Here is a 14,208-nt window from a genome sequence, read left to right on the forward strand (position 1 = left end):
CAAGATGATTTCTATGGTGCTCTGGGTGATTATTATGTCCTTCAAAACGGAATAAAACAATTGAACTTTAAGCAATCACTCCATCAACACATTAAAAAAATAGGTTTAATGCAGGTGGGTCATGGCATGACGAATTTCACAGGCACCGGGGACAGCAGGCGGCCAGGTGCTCAGAGGGCACCAAGGTGCCACAACTCCCTGCAGCGTTGACACCGCACGAGCGGCACCACCAGCCCCCTCCCGCCTCCCGTCCCACCTTCACCCTCAGCCAAGAGGCTTGGGTGACTCTGAGTAATACGTTAACAAAAAACAAAGCTTCTTTGAGGAAACAGCATGACTTAGTGCAAAAGATTCTCTGCAGCAAGAAATGAGGCCCACGCAGGGAAGCTCCCGCCTACCTGCCCAGGGCGTGGACGCAGCCCGGGCTCATCAGAGGTCATCCACAGAAGCTGCCGATAAATTAGAGAGCACGGTTTACGGCCAGAGATTTTTTGCTTTCTCTACCTGATTTAGGGTTTTTCAAAAAGTTTCTCTTCCAGTGGCACACAACTGTCCTCATGGCTCCTGGGCCACTGGTCCGCCTGACAGGGTAGGGTCACAAGTCCCACCCATGCCCAGAGTGTGGGGACATGGATTTGAGGTGACACTAGGGTTGTCAGTACCACACCCTGTGTCCTGCTCTAGGGTAGCCTCTGCCTGTTGTCCTTGCAATCATTATTCAGGGCGCCCTCCCACTTGCCCCCAAAGTCACACGGCCATGGGCAGTCCACCATAGTGCTGCCGTGACTGCAAGGCTGAGGAGCAGAGCAAGGGGTCCTGGGTGAGACCTCGGCCCATGGTGGCCACCCTCCCTGAACACAGGCATCTGCGCCCCTCCAGCCCACCTGCCCCTGTGCCATCATTTGGGCCCCCCAGACACTGGAGGACAGCGTGAGATAAGATCTCAGCATATACCTGGGGCTCTAAGATGCTGCTGGTGCCACACAGGCTCTGGGGCTGTGTTTGCCGCACTGAGGCCTCTGCCGCCTGCTCCGGACACTTGGGACACGCGTTTCCATCCTGGCTCACTGAAGCCTCGATCTCCCAGGCTTTCTTTGACGGTGTTCCCTCAAAGAAAGAGGCCCAAAGCCCTCCCCCGCAAAAAAAGCCAGAAAGGAATGGAGGTGCCTCCGCAGAAATCCAGAGCATCTGCAAGACATCCTCACAGCCCTCCCAGAACAGGCAGACAGGCCAGTGTTGCTGGAGTCAGCCCCTGGCTCCCAGGGTTCCCCCCAGGCCAGCCCCTGAGCTGGGAGCCTGCTGAGGCCCCTCCCACCTGAGCCCTTCTCCGGCCCCCCGCTAGACTGCATCTACACAATCCAAGGGGACCCTGAAGGCTGGCTGGGGACTCAGGACCCACACAGCCCCTCAGGATGACACACACAGGGTGGTCCGCGGGCAGTGCCAGGCCTCAGGCGGCCCAGGGCAGAGTAAGCAGCTTTGTGGCAGTGTGGTGTGTCAGCGAGGGGAGCCTTCCGTGTCCCGTTGGCTGGGGCTGGGGCCAGGGCACGCAGAAGGGGCTGTGCAGCCAGGAGGGCCCCCCTCCGGAATTGCTCCTGGGCACACAGCCCTCTGTGTCCAGGGGCCTCCCAGGGTGATGTCTAAAGTCCCTGGCAGCTGTGGTCCTGGAGAGAGGCCCACAGAGAGGCGGAACGGAGGGCCCACCCCGCAGTACGACCCGAAGACATGTGAGCAGGAGCCACCGGCAGGTGGGCGCTGCCCCTGAGAGTGCATACGGGGAGGGTGGGTCCAGGAAGCCAGCCTAGGGGTGGTGTCCGCGCCCCCATCACAGAAGTCTCAGCCCTTTCTTTTCTCTCCGTGGGCGCCGGGCAGCAGCGACTGCCTGGGGGATGGGCGAAGGGAAGGCGCTGGCCGACCCCACCCATGGAGAGAACACAGCCACAGGCCGGGACGATACATCAAGCTCGCACCCACGGCCCTCACATGTCCACGAAGACCATGAAGCACCAGCCCAGGCCCCCGACCAGCAGCATGGTGACGTGGATGCCATAGACGAGCAGCTCGTTCACCAGGCGGAAGTCCACGCGCCGGCGGCCCAGCAGCAGCAGCAGCACCGACAGCTTGCGCTGGAAGCGCAGCAGGACGCGAACGCCCAGGTACTGTAGGCAGAAGAGGGCGGCCAGCGCACCCCAGAGCGCCGCAGTGAACAGGCTGCAGCTAAAGTAGAGTAGGAAGCGGATGAAGCCGTACAGCCAGCGCGTCTTGATGTACACGTCGAAGTTGTTGTACTTGGTGCGGGCCAGGTGGGAGGCGCGCACGGGCCCGCAGGCCGCATGCAGGCAGGTGGTGTGCGGGCCGTGGAAGGAGCGCACCCGCCGCGGAATGGGCATGACCGGCATTGGGCCCCGGCGGCGGCGGCGCTAGGTCGCAGTGGCGGCGGCGGTGTCCAGGCGGCTGTTGGCGTAGGGGTCATGGGCGCCTAGGCCTGGGAGCCCGCAGCTGACCCTGGGGGGAGGCGTCGGCCTGCGGGGAGAGCCGCAAAACCCACGTCAGTATGAGGACACCATGCGGATCCCTCCCCAGGCAATCAGCTGGCGAAAGTGGACACAAACTCCAGCACCAGGACTACGGGAAAATGGAGTCCAGGGCGGGATCTGCAGGCACTCCTGGGCTCTTTTCCACAAACCCTCCCAAGGATACTTCCAAGGGGCCCACCACCTGGGGAAGCCAAAGTGCTTGTTCTAGGGCAGCACTGGGGAAAGGGGGCCTTGGGGACAGTGGCCAGGGGAGGCCCCCGGAAGTGGTCAATGCCAAAACGGATGGGAAGGGGCAAGAGTGGCTCTTTCCTGCAGGATCCTCGCAGCTCCCCACTAGCTGGACCACACTCTGCTCTTAGGCAGTTTGCCCGTTACTGCCCTGGTCTTCTGCGGCTGCCTGACCCAGGGCTGATGCAAGCCCTTAAATGGCATCTGCAAGAAGCCACCACAGGGCCGGGAAAAGGGACTCCAGGGCTCGCAGGTGAACCGAAAACGAGCCCGGCGGGAGCAGGTGACTCCAGCAACCTGCTGGGTGCCAGATGGACGGCTCGGGGGCCGTGGGGTCACCTTGCTGGGCCTGAACCCTGGCACTGTCCTTCCCTAGCAGTGACTTTGGGCAGGTCACCTGACCCCAAGACGGCTCCTGCTCTGTCCAATGGGGGTGCCAATAGCACTGCCTTTGTGGGTAGCTGTGGGAGGGAAGGGGCTGGGCCTGGCGTGCACAGTGGGGTCGGCCCGGGGCCTGGCAGCGGCCCTTACAGACTGGGCTGCAAAGAGCAGAGGCGGCATTTGGCTCTCCAGCTTCACCTAGTAAAGGCCGTTTATACCTTGCCGAAATAATCTGTAGACGGAATGAACTCAAAGGTCAGGAAATAAAATCTGAGCAGGAAAGTTGGTAACATTACAGGGGACTGTTGCCAAGAGCTTCGCCTGCCTTCAGATTCAGCCTGGGGCCCTGCCGTGGGGACCTGGCCAGGGCGGAGGAGGGAGGGGCCGGGGCCGCCTGACCCTCCCGTGCCCGCAGGGGCCCGACCTCGCCCTCTCCCTCCGCCCGGCTCCTCCACGGGGTGCAGGGGCCAGAGCGGCCCTATTTAAGGCCGGCCTTGGCCTGGAGCTCGCCCCGGCCGGGACCCCGGCCATGGCGGTGCCACTCAAACGCGACTCGGCGGAGCTGTGTCCCCGCAGGGTCTCGCGGCCCGCGGCTCCATCCGGGTCCCTGCGTTTCTGCAGACGCCCGCTCGGCCCGGCCCATGGACCCAGGACTGTTTCCTCGGGGCCGCAGAGACGCAACGGGCCCCGGCCAACTCCGCGTGAGCACCGGGCCTGCGCCGCGCCGCGCCGGGCCCCCTGGCTGCAGAGCCCCTGCCGGAGCCACTTCCGGGTCCCGCGCCGCGCGTTGCCCTGGAGACGGCCCCCGCCTAGGCCGGGTCCCCGACCGCAGCTCACCCGGTGCCCTCTCCGCGGCGGCGCCGGCGTCCCGGACCTCGGGGCCGGCCGGCGGTGCTAGGGGCCGGGCCTGCGGGTGCCCCTGTCCCTCGGGGCTCCGTGCGCAGGGCGGCCGCATGGTGCTGGGGCGCGCGGCTGGGGGCGCTGGCAAGGCGGCTGAGGGCGTGGTTCACGCGTCGCCGGCTGGGGTCGCCCTGCAGGTGAAGGGGCTCTCGGGCGCGGCCGCCGGAGGCGTTTGGCCTAGCGTGGGAGCCGTAGCGCCGTCCCTCGACGGCCACCGTAGGGCGGCCTCACGCCCCCTCCACCCGCGCCGACCGAGCCGCACTTCCCTTCCCCCTGCTCCGGGCCCGCGCTGGGCGTCCCGGACTCGTCGCTTCCCGAGGGCGTGCGTGCGTGCGTGCGTGCGCACGCTGCGAGCAGTCCGTAGCGTTCCCTCCCCCGAACGCCCTCGGTGCCGCGCCTGGTCTTCTGCGCCTGCGCTTGCCGTTCCTGGGCCGCGCCTCCGCGCACGCGCTACCGCATCCCGTGGAGAGGCAGTGCGCAGGCGCGCTTCCGTGGAGCAGTCCTTTGGCCCCAGCAGAGGGCTTGACCGTGGTCCTGGCCCCGGACTGAGGTGTCTGCGACCCGGCGCGCTGCTGCCGTCGCTGGGGTGGGGCCGGGCCCCGGAGGAAGCCGCTTTCCCGGCGGGGGTGGGCGGCCCAGGGACCGGGAGCAGGTCTGGTCCTCGCGGGGCCGTGTGCGAAGGCCTCCTGCGCGGCCTGGGGCTGGGAGGACAGGGCGGCGGCGGGAATGAGGGCGCCCCCCAGGCTCCAGGAGGGCGGGGAAGGGTGGGGGCGGCTGACGCCACGCGGACCCGGGCGGCACGGATCGGGTGTGTAGCTGCGAGGCCCGGTGGGCCGGCGGCGACGTCGGCAGCCGAAGTAGGGACAGCCCCGGAGCACGAGCAGGCCCAGCAGCAGCCCCAGGGCCGCCCCCCCGCCGCCCCCCAGTGAAGGAAGGGGACTTGTGTTAGTGTCCTCACGCCTGGTTCGTACAGGCTGGCGGTTGTCCTGGGGGTTTCCAGCGAGGAATGTGTTGGGGAGCGCTCCTGGGTGTGGCTGCTGGGTAGGAGGGGAAGGCAGGGTCAGCAGCCCCTGGGGCGACCGTAAAGTGGGTGGCCCTTCAAATTCAAGGCACTGGAACAAGGGGGCTGGGCCCTCCTGCCCACCAGGCCCGTCATTGGCTGCAGGCCTCCCGGGACGGCGAGCTGGCTCCTGGGCCCCTGTCCTTTGGACCAGGGCCGCCCTGAGGGCTGGCACAGCTACCTTCTCCACTGTGGCCCCATCCCCGCCACAGGAGAGAGAGCCGCCTTTACCCGACATGAGCAGGAGTTCGAGGAACATCTGGACGAGCAAAGGCCACCAGGAGGTAGCACAGCAAAAAAGGCCAAGAGCCTGTTTTCTTTACCGATGGCTGGCGGCAAATATTCCGAAAGAAACGTGTCAGGCAAGAAGCGCTAGTTCACGCCTGTCATTCCACCGCTTTGGGAGGCCAAGGCAGGGGGATCACTTGCCCCAGAAGTTTGAGACCAGCCTGGGCAACATAGTGAGGCCCCTGTCTCTACAAAAAACTTAAAATCAATAAACAGGTCTCCTTCCTTCCTCAATAGTCCTGTTGGTGGCTCACCTCTCTGCCTCTCCAGATGTGAGGCAGATCCACACGTTTAGCTATTGAGATAAGGCTGGGCGTGGTGGCTCACACCTGTCATTCCGGCCTCAGATCTCTTGTGCCCAGGAGTTTTAAGACTAGCCTGGGCGACCTGGCTGGCAACATGGCCTCCACAAAAATAAATAAAACATTTTAAATATATAAACATTGAGATAATAGCATCTTGATGCCTGTCTTCATTTTTTGTCTTCTGTTTTAAGGACTATTAGAGACAAACTAACCAAAGATAATTCTCCCCTCCCATGTGGCTCGTGCTGGGACGCCGGCACCGTGAGATGGCGCCCGTGGCCAGATAGAGGGTGGCGTGTAAAGCAGGTGGTCACCCGTCACTCGACTTTTCGCGTGCTGGTGAGGGTGGTCGCATGTCCATGGATCAGGGCTCACACCTGGCCCATCTGGTGGCTGTGCCATGGGAGGAGCAGAGCCACAGCCCCGCTCCTTGCTGTGGGTTTCCCGTGTCCTCCCTGCCCTGCAGTCCCCTGACTCCAGCTCTGGATTAGACACCCCCTGCTTCCCACTGTGCACCCGCCCAGAGAAGCACAGCATGCGTGCCTGCACTTGCCCCCACGCTGCTACCCTGCTCTGGGTACCAAGGACACAGGCACAGCAGAGCCCCCACCCTCGAGGCACCTGTCATCTTGTGACAGGGACAGGCTGAGGGGCAAATGACCAGAAAGGGTGGCAAGTGCCATGTCAGACATATGGTCTTCATACAGGGGATGTCCCAGGACTGCTGGGCCAGAGACCCCTCCATGTGGGTCAGCATCACCCAAGCCAAAGGCCAAGGAGGTCTCTTGGGGGGTGTGGCCGTCAGAACAAAGCTGCCAATGCGCGTACTTTTAAAGGTGCGGTCAGCTAGTGAGGCTGTGGCTGGCCCTGGCTGCATCCAGACCCTGGAGTGTCCTGCAGCCAGGGGCGGATGCAGGTTTTGTGGGGCCTGAGGCTTCTGTGGTTTAAGGGACCTTCCTTAAGAAAATACAAAATTAGGAACAGGCCTTGAAGCTTCTGCTGCTAAACAGGGTCAGGTGAACCCACTGCCAGCTGTGCCCAGAAGACAGTCCCCCAGGCTGAGTCAAAAGTGGTTCATAGGCCGGTCATGGTGGCTCACGCCTGTAATCACAGCACTTTGGGAGGCCAAGGTGGGCAGATCTCAAGGTCAGGAGATCAAGACCATCCTGGCTAACACAGTGAAACCCCGTCTCTACTAAAAAACTACAAAAAAAAAAAAAAATAGCTGGACGTGGTGGCGGGCGCCTGTAGTCCCAGCTACTGGGGAGGCTGAGGCAGGAGAATGGCATGAACCCAGGAGGCGGAGCTTGCAGTGAGCGGAGATTGCGCCACTGCACTCCAGCCTGGGCAACGGAGTGAGACTGTCGCAAAACAAAGAAAAAAAAGAAAAAAAAAGTGGTTCACAAAGTCACGTCTAGTGTGACCCCTCATCAGCACAGACGTACTCCTAGGTGTCCGTTTCTGGGTGAAGTCCTGGAAGCAGATAAATGTTTGCAGAGGTGATCTATGTGTGGTGGGATTAAAGAGATGAATATATTTTACTGTTTTTTTAACATTTCTGTACTTTCTGATTTTATTTTTTCAGCATGAACAAACAAAAAAAAGCCGGATTTGGACAAATAAAAAGAAGTGCATGTCAGCCCGAGTGTCCTGAAACATGTTCCTGTATTAGAATCTCCAGGAAAGCTGGGGCCCCCACTCGCCACTACCTCAGGCTGGGCCCGCAGTCACGTGCTTCTCCCTACAGGAGGGTTCTGTGTCCTGAATTCCCAAAGGGTGCAGCTGTCCCCTTGTCGCCTTGTCTGTGTTGATGGTTCCACACTCTCTGGTCAGCCACCTGCCCCGCCAGTCTCTGCTCGCCCATGGATGGGGATGACCACTCTAGCTGTGAGGGTGGCTTCCCGGGCTAACCCTGCTGCTGCTGCCCATTGCTTCCAAGGCTGGGATATCACTTGGGGTTTGGGGTGAGGGGACAGTAAGGGGGAGCCCTGGTTGCCCTTTCCAGGAGAATGAGTATTTAAGTGCGGAGTTGTTTATTACTTGACTTCAGCAGAGGCGCCATGGTCGGGGAAACGCTTCATGTGCCTTGGGTTATAGGGCAAGTCCCATCTGTCTGCCTTGAATTTCGGTTTGGAGAATCTGTAAGCTCCACACACGTGGAAGCGTCTGTGCCCCGGGTGTGGGTTCTGATCTTGGTTGTGTTCGTGGCTGGACGCTGTCCTTGAGGCCACCCCTTGGCACCCTTCACAGAAGACAGTGGGGGTCGCCCTTCCCTGGCTGACCCTCCAGAACCGCCAGCCTCCCCTACCTCCCTGTGAAACCAGGGTACAGGGCAGGAGCCTGGACCTCTTTACAGTTGCCTTTTCTCTCTCTCTGTCCCTTCTCCATCTTCCGAGCTCCTACTCGCCCTTCAGGACCCAGCTCGAATGCCCCATCTCTGGGAGGCGCCTTCAATCTTGGGCTGCCCCTTCCGTCACACCCCCTGTCCCCTGTCTCCTGCCTCCCCTTCCTCCTCACACAAAGCCACCCCCGCCTGTTGGTGGCCTGTGTCTCCGCTGGCCCAGGGCTCTCTTGCCGTGGCCACCGTGGGTTTTGGCCTCGTGACCCAGTCCATGCGTGCACAGCGCAAGTAGCTTCCCAGGACACCGATTTCCTCCCCGGCCGCAGCTGCTTCTGGTCCTCTGCCCACTCCCGGGTTCTGCGCCTTCCTGCGCCCCCGGCCTGGCCACAGCTCGGTCACCCCAGAACCACCGTGTGCTGGGGATTTGTCACGGGTTTGTCCTGACGTGTGAGGTCCAGCCGGGGTCCCCATAGCCTCCCTGTCCCCGTCCCTGTCCCCGTCAGGCCTCCTGCTGCGCTGTGGACAGTGGCTTGGCGCCATCTGCTGGGCTGGTGCCTGTGGTGCCGCCAAGCGCAGGAGGGACCCAGCGGCTCCAGGTCTGTGGGAGACTTTAAGTTGGGGCCGAATGTGGTGCTCGCTGCCGACGCAGAGCCCCCAAGCTGGACGGGACCCCTGGCCGTGCGGCTGGGAACACCTGGGGTTGTCCTACCTTTGCAGGGACAGCGAGCCAACCCCTGCTTGGAAGGAGCACTTTCCCCACCGAGGCCGGCCCAGGGCGCGTGCTGAGCAGGTGGGTTGAGTGGGTGGAAAGAATGCAACCCCTGGTTGTGGGACATGTTGAAGCCCACCCCAACCCCTCCAGTACCGTCCTTCTGTCCCTCCACTTGCTGGGGCTGGGGGCCAAGGATGGGGTCACTGTGGGGACTTTATCCAGCTGGTTGACTTCAGGGTCCTGGCAGGGAGTGGCTCTTGCTGCCAGGACAGTAGAGGCCTAGAGAGTCCTATCTCTGACACCAGCCACCTTGCAGGGTTCGGGCCAGGGAAGGGGAAGGGATGGGAGAGAATGGAAACCTCCAGAGTCATTTTAACTGGTCGTTGGACAGAGCCAGTGCGACTTCAAGTTCAATGACAAACCCCCTCTCCATGTCTCTGGGGTGGGGTGGGGCCTGTGGCCCCACAGAGCTGAGCCACCCAGGAGGCCAGGGAAGGAGACGCAGTACACAGGAGGCCAGGGAAGGAGACGCAGTACACAGGAGCCCAGCATCCTCTCAGCTGCATGGACATCTCTACCCAGACCCTTCTGCAGCCACCTCCCCACTTACCCAGCAGGAGACCAAGCCAATCCTTTTCTGCGAAACTGTGCTGGCTTCTGTGACTGTCCTGCAACCAGATAGAGGCCTGAGGGACTCTGCACAGTTTCTGGGCTGAGGCAGAAGAAGCCCCATGGCTTCCCCTCTGCCTCCTGCATGCTGCCTTTTAGCTCTTAGCACCTGCTGGGAGAAGCTGGCCCCAGCGTGGACAAGCCTCCAGGAGACCGGAGCACCCACCGGAAGGAAGGGAGGGAGGGAGGGAGGAAGGGCCATGGAGGTAAAACGAAGTTATTAGGGTGGGCCCAAATCTGACTGGTGTCCGTAGACAAAGGGGAGATTAGGACACAGACATGCACAGAGGGATGACACCGTGAGGACACAGGGAGAAGACGGCATCTGCAAGCCCAGAAGAGAGGCCTCAGGAGGACCCAACCCTGCCCACACCTTGATCTTGGACTTCCAGTCTCCATGACTGTGAGATGGTAAATAAATGCATGCTGTTAAGGCCACGGAATCTGTGGTCCTTTGTTACGGCCGCAGGGCAAGGCAATCCCAGGGGTACTTATTGTTTGAAGGCATCCCATTCTGGATGTTCTCTGATGGGGAGTGATGGGGAACTGTGTACCAGGCACTCCACTGAGCATGGCAGGGGCCTTGGTCACAGCGACCTGGGAAAGTGTGTTGTGGCTGTCCCTGTTTACAGGGGTCAGGAGGTGCAGCAACTTGCTCGAGGTCACTTGGGCCATCAGGTGGGGGCTGGAGGGCAGCACTTGGACCAGGGCTTTCTGTACCCTGTTGGTCTGGACACAAGCTCCCCATGGTGTCCTCTTCGGAAGGATGGGGAGCAGTGGGCCCCTCGGAGCCCCTGCGGGAGAATCCCCTTCCCTGACGGAGGCAGACACTCAGGTTAGGGAGAGAGTGGGCAGCCTCAGAGCCCAGGTCCTCCCCTCCCTGCGGTCCCCTCAGCCTGCCGGCACTGTCCAGATCTTTCTAAGCCCGGCTACATCACTCGGTCTCAGTGCTGAGTGCTGGGTGCAGAGGCCCCGCTGCCTTTGCCATCTCAGGGTCTTTGTTACTTTCATGCTTGTGCTTTCTTGTCCAATCTCTCTGGAGCTCAAGCTCTGAAAGGAGGCGCCCTCCTCTGTTTCCCTGAGTTCCTGGTACCTGGCAGGCGGTAGGGCTCAGGGTGTACTTGCTTGGTTGGTTGGATGGTTGGTTGGATATGACTGGTTGGTTTGATGGATGGATGGTTGGTTGGATGGTTGGTTGGTTGGTTGGATGGTTGGTTGGTTAGATGGTTGACTGGTTGGTTTGTTGGTTTGTTGGATGGTTGGTTGGATGGTTTGTTGGTTTGTTGGATGGTTGGTTGTTTGGTTAGATGGTTGGTTGGCTGGATGGTTGGTTGGATGGATGGTTGGTTGGTTGTTTGGATGGTTGGTTGGTTGGTTGGTTGGATGATTGGTTGGTTGGTTGTTTGGTTGGATGGTTGGTTGGTTGGATGGTTGGTTGGTTGGTTGGATGGTTGGTTGGTTAGATGGATGGTTGGTTGGTTAGTTGGTTAGATGGTTGGTTAGTTGGTTGGTTGGATGGTTGGTTGGTTGGATGGTTGGTTGGTTGGATGGTTGGCTGGTTGGTTGATCAGTTTGTTGAATGGTTGGTTTTTTGTATGGCTGGTTGTTTGGTTAGATGTTTGGTTGGTTGGATGGTTGGTTGGTTGGTTGGTTGGTTGGTTGGTTGGTTGGATGGTTGGTTGGTTGGATGGTTGGTTAGTTGGATGGGTGGTTGGTTGGTTGGATGATTGGTTGGATGATTGGTTGGTTGGTTGGATGGCTGGCTGATTAAAGTGCCTGGCTTGTGCTGGGTTTTCAAAAATGGAGGCCCAAGGACTTTGGAGGGCCACAGGCCTCAACCTGGCATGGCCCACTGGCATCCACAGGCATGTAACTCACCCGGGGCAGCCCTGGCACCATGTGCCCAGTAGCCTGTTGGTGCCATGCAGGGGTGAGGGAGACAGTGGGCACAGATCTGTGTCTGGGGGCCTTGTAAGTGGTGTCAGGGGCCATCAGGGAGGCATGGATCACAGATGTGCTTGATTTCAGAAGTGTCCCCATCCCACCATCCCAAGCTGCAAGAGGAGATTCTACGGTTGGGTGAATGACTTCAGATTCCTGAGCATGCACATCTATGTGCTGGGCTTATCCTTGGTGGCCATTAATGATTTAATGATGCGAAGCCCTTAGCTGAGGCTGAGGCAGAGTAAGTGCTTAATAAACACCACCGTTGGAAAGCAGTGATGTTCATGGAATGCAGGCCGTTGGCTAGGCTCATGGACGGAGACCCCAGCTTCTCAGCATGGGGAGGACGGGGCTGCTTGCCCATTTTCTTGGTGGTCCTGGTCTTCTCCGGGCAGCAGGTCCTTGGCTGCCTAAAGCAAGTGGCCTCAGAACACCCAGATTCAGATTACAAAGGGGGCTTAGGAAGCCTGCATTCAAGGTTAGCGCTCACCCTGGGCCCTCCTCCCAGGGCCACAATGTCCCTAGACCCAGGCCTGGGCTGTATTTTCTCCTGTGCTAATTTCACAAAACACACAACTCATATTCCTGTTGATTGAACAGTTTTGCGTTGACAGCAGTGAAGATTTGTGACCAAGTTTATCATTACCCCAGAGCATGGACGATTTGTATGGCTCCGAGGAGCTCACGGGGGGGATATATTTTATGGCACACTTGGAAGACAAACATACGCATTTATATGTCACTTGTTGCAATATAAATGCTAACTTGTACTTCTTTCAAAACTTTTAATGAATTGTATACATTCTGGAAGATTTACAGGGTGAATGGGATGGCTCAAAATGTTACTTTAAACATATTCGTCACTTTGGCAATAGCATCAAAAAAATCTGGAAGATATTGCATTCAGAAATAAATCATAAAAAGATGCATCTTAAAAGAGGTTTATTTTGGTCGTTAATGGTTGACGGGCCCCCCCATGCAGGATTTAAAGTTAAATTATGCAAAATCAAAAACAAACCTTATAATACTTAATCAAACATGCATAAAACTGTCAGGCCCAAATAAATTCTCTCAATTAACTTGCTTCAGATTGTGATTGCATTCGCTAATTTAATCAGCCCCAGAGTAATCTAGCGGCTGGGAAATGATGAATTCCTGTGAACATGAGCCCAAGGGGGGCCAGGGCGGGACACCAACGCTGGGGCCGAAGGCCTTCCGAGGTGGGGACGGAGAACCAGCTCTCTTTCCACCTGGGGAGCTGTTTCAGTCACTCCCTGACGTGGAGGTAGGTTCGGTCAACCAGGCACGGGGCTCGACTTCACTGCTACCTGGGAACGGCCTGGGGCAGCCTCCTTCCCACACCTGAATCAGCCAGACCTGGGAAGCACCGTCTGGAAAAAGCTCCACTCCGGTTTTGTTTGGCTCCACCAACCTCGGCCTGGGTCCCTCTGTGTCTTTTCCCGAACAATGAGAACCCAAATGTGCTCAGAATGGCTGTTTCCTTCCACATCACCCTTTCAGAGCCCGCTTGTACCTACTGAAGATTCCCGATTAAATCAGGATTATGTCCTTTTCTGGGGGAAGGGGGCCTGTCTCGGACACCGCGGGCTGGAGGTGGCGCCTGCACTGCGGGCGCGGAACCTCTCGGGTGTCCGCGGCTCTGCCCCAGGCTTACTCGGCCACTGCAGGAGGCCGCCTCGTCCAGCAGGAACCCCAAACCCAGGCAAACTGCACCGACACCCCGAGACCCATGCAGGTGTTTGTGCTTAAAAATGGGACCAAAGTTTTGTGGGTGTTTATTTTTGTAAAATTTAGTGAAACTAATTCAACCAGAGCCAAACCTGCTTATTGTGTCATTCTAGTGGATGAGGAAGAGACAATGGAGAGAGAGAGAGAGACAAAGACAGAGAAAGAGACAGAAAGACAGAGAGAGGGAAGGAGAGACAGACGGAAGGAGAAACAGAGAGACAGAGATGGAGAGAGACAAAGAAAGAGACAGAGAGAGGGAGGAGGAGGAGGAGGAGGCTGGTGCGTGCCTTTTCTGAGCTGACCGTGAGCTGAATCACTTTGGTGCAGTCCAAGGCCTTGACTGTACCTGAGCCCACCTTGGGACCCCACCTCATTCCCCCAAGGCCCCCGTCCCCCCACCTCTTGGTGGAGGACCTCTGTGAAGCCCTCAGCATGCATCCCTGTGGGGCCCTGCGCAGATGGGGCTCCAGCCCAGCCTGGGACGTTTGACGGCCCGTGCTCTCCGTCTGGCTAAATGCTTTATTTTATTGAATTTCAAAATAGGGCTGATGGGACATACATGGGCTTGCATTCTGCTTTTTCCCTGCTTGACCTTATGGAATGAACATTTTTTCAAGTCCGAGTACCCCTCATAAATCTCATGTTCAGTGGCCACGGTGTATTCCAGAGCTCGGATGCACCATCATTCACCTCACCTTTCTTCTCTGATTGGATGTGTGAGTTGGTGCCAATTTTTTATTATAAATAATGCTGTGATGAACATCCCTGCACATAAATCTGTGCACACACACATTTCAAATGCCGCTCTCTGGTTGGACCTGCTGATGGGGCTGACCTTTCTGAGGCTGCTGACGTGCCCTGGCAAGCTCCGTGCTGCCCGCTAGCTGGCAGGGCTGAGGGCTCCCCGCCTGCGTCCCGCCATCGCCACCCTCACCCGCCCTCCCTGGGGTCTTCTGAGAGACGGTGAGGCTGTTTTCTGCCAAGGGAACCAGGCCTGGCGTTGGCCACTTCCAACGCAGGCAGCTGAAAGCACCCCTCGCAGGGAGGAGCTCGGGGGCTGAGGGGCTCAGGAGAGTCTGTCTTGGGAAGGGAAG

At 59.0% G+C, this 14,208-nt stretch overlaps 1 protein-coding gene and 1 long non-coding RNA gene across 8 annotated transcripts, besides 7 other annotated features; one reads left to right on the top strand and one right to left on the bottom strand.

Moving 5' to 3' along the window:
* Positions 1–87: 87 nt before the first annotated feature.
* On the bottom strand, positions 88–4,374 carry TMEM250 (transmembrane protein 250). Of its 5 annotated transcripts, none has more exons than NR_134506.2 (3): positions 3,984–4,374; positions 955–2,523; positions 88–449 (listed from the first exon to the last, which is right to left on the bottom strand). NR_134506.2 is itself a non-coding variant. In NM_152833.3 (2 exons), exon 2 carries the CDS (start codon positions 2,397–2,399, stop codon positions 1,980–1,982), a length of 420 nt encoding a protein of 139 aa, NP_690046.3. In that variant the 5' UTR covers positions 2,400–2,523; positions 3,984–4,374; the 3' UTR covers positions 88–1,979. The 5 variants fall into 5 exon arrangements, 3 of the variants coding, with proteins under 3 accessions (NP_690046.3, XP_024303480.1, NP_001243455.1); XR_007061371.1 differs by lacking the exon at positions 3,984–4,374 and adding an exon at positions 3,365–3,938; NM_152833.3 differs by having other exon boundaries at positions 88–2,523.
* Positions 2,320–2,895: an enhancer, noted in NCBI's record as "H3K27ac-H3K4me1 hESC enhancer chr9:139008667-139009242 (GRCh37/hg19 assembly coordinates)". NCBI's record gives its function as "activates a minimal SCP1, AML or CMV promoter by ChIP-STARR-seq in primed H9 embryonic stem cells {active_cell/tissue: H9 hESC(primed)}" and the evidence as "EXISTENCE:reporter gene assay evidence [ECO:0000049][PMID:30033119]".
* Positions 2,896–3,471: an enhancer, noted in NCBI's record as "H3K27ac-H3K4me1 hESC enhancer chr9:139009243-139009818 (GRCh37/hg19 assembly coordinates)". NCBI's record gives its function as "activates a minimal SCP1, AML or CMV promoter by ChIP-STARR-seq in naive H9 embryonic stem cells {active_cell/tissue: H9 hESC(naive)}" and the evidence as "EXISTENCE:reporter gene assay evidence [ECO:0000049][PMID:30033119]".
* LOC107987142 (uncharacterized) lies at positions 3,291–9,864 on the top strand. Of its 3 annotated transcripts, none has more exons than NR_165242.1 (2): positions 3,291–3,401; positions 7,285–9,864. It is a non-coding gene; the product is annotated as an uncharacterized LOC107987142 (long non-coding RNA). The 3 variants fall into 3 exon arrangements; NR_165240.1 differs by lacking the exon at positions 3,291–3,401 and adding an exon at positions 4,519–4,596; NR_165241.1 differs by lacking the exons at positions 3,291–3,401; positions 7,285–9,864 and adding exons at positions 4,519–4,596; positions 5,319–5,851.
* Positions 3,488–4,537: a silencer, noted in NCBI's record as "silent region_20499". NCBI's record gives its function as "represses an Ori minimal core promoter by ATAC-STARR-seq in GM12878 lymphoblastoid cells {active_cell/tissue: GM12878}" and the evidence as "EXISTENCE:reporter gene assay evidence [ECO:0000049][PMID:35858748]".
* Positions 4,568–4,957: a silencer, noted in NCBI's record as "silent region_20500". NCBI's record gives its function as "represses an Ori minimal core promoter by ATAC-STARR-seq in GM12878 lymphoblastoid cells {active_cell/tissue: GM12878}" and the evidence as "EXISTENCE:reporter gene assay evidence [ECO:0000049][PMID:35858748]".
* Positions 4,568–5,201: a biological region, named in NCBI's record as "H3K27ac-H3K4me1 hESC enhancer GRCh37_chr9:139010972-139011548".
* Positions 4,625–5,201: an enhancer, noted in NCBI's record as "H3K27ac-H3K4me1 hESC enhancer chr9:139010972-139011548 (GRCh37/hg19 assembly coordinates)". NCBI's record gives its function as "activates a minimal SCP1, AML or CMV promoter by ChIP-STARR-seq in naive H9 embryonic stem cells {active_cell/tissue: H9 hESC(naive)}" and the evidence as "EXISTENCE:reporter gene assay evidence [ECO:0000049][PMID:30033119]".
* Positions 5,202–5,776: an enhancer, noted in NCBI's record as "H3K4me1 hESC enhancer chr9:139011549-139012123 (GRCh37/hg19 assembly coordinates)". NCBI's record gives its function as "activates a minimal SCP1, AML or CMV promoter by ChIP-STARR-seq in naive H9 embryonic stem cells {active_cell/tissue: H9 hESC(naive)}" and the evidence as "EXISTENCE:reporter gene assay evidence [ECO:0000049][PMID:30033119]".
* Positions 9,865–14,208: the final 4,344 nt, after the last annotated feature.

Source organism: Homo sapiens, chromosome 9, assembly GCF_000001405.40.
Source record: "Homo sapiens chromosome 9, GRCh38.p14 Primary Assembly".
Taxonomy (NCBI): domain Eukaryota; kingdom Metazoa; phylum Chordata; class Mammalia; order Primates; family Hominidae; genus Homo; species Homo sapiens.

Coding starts and splice junctions, on each gene's coding strand:
- TMEM250 (NM_152833.3), bottom strand. CDS start 2,399: ATGCCGGTCATGCCCATTCCGCGGCGGGTGCGCTCCTTCCACGGCCCG.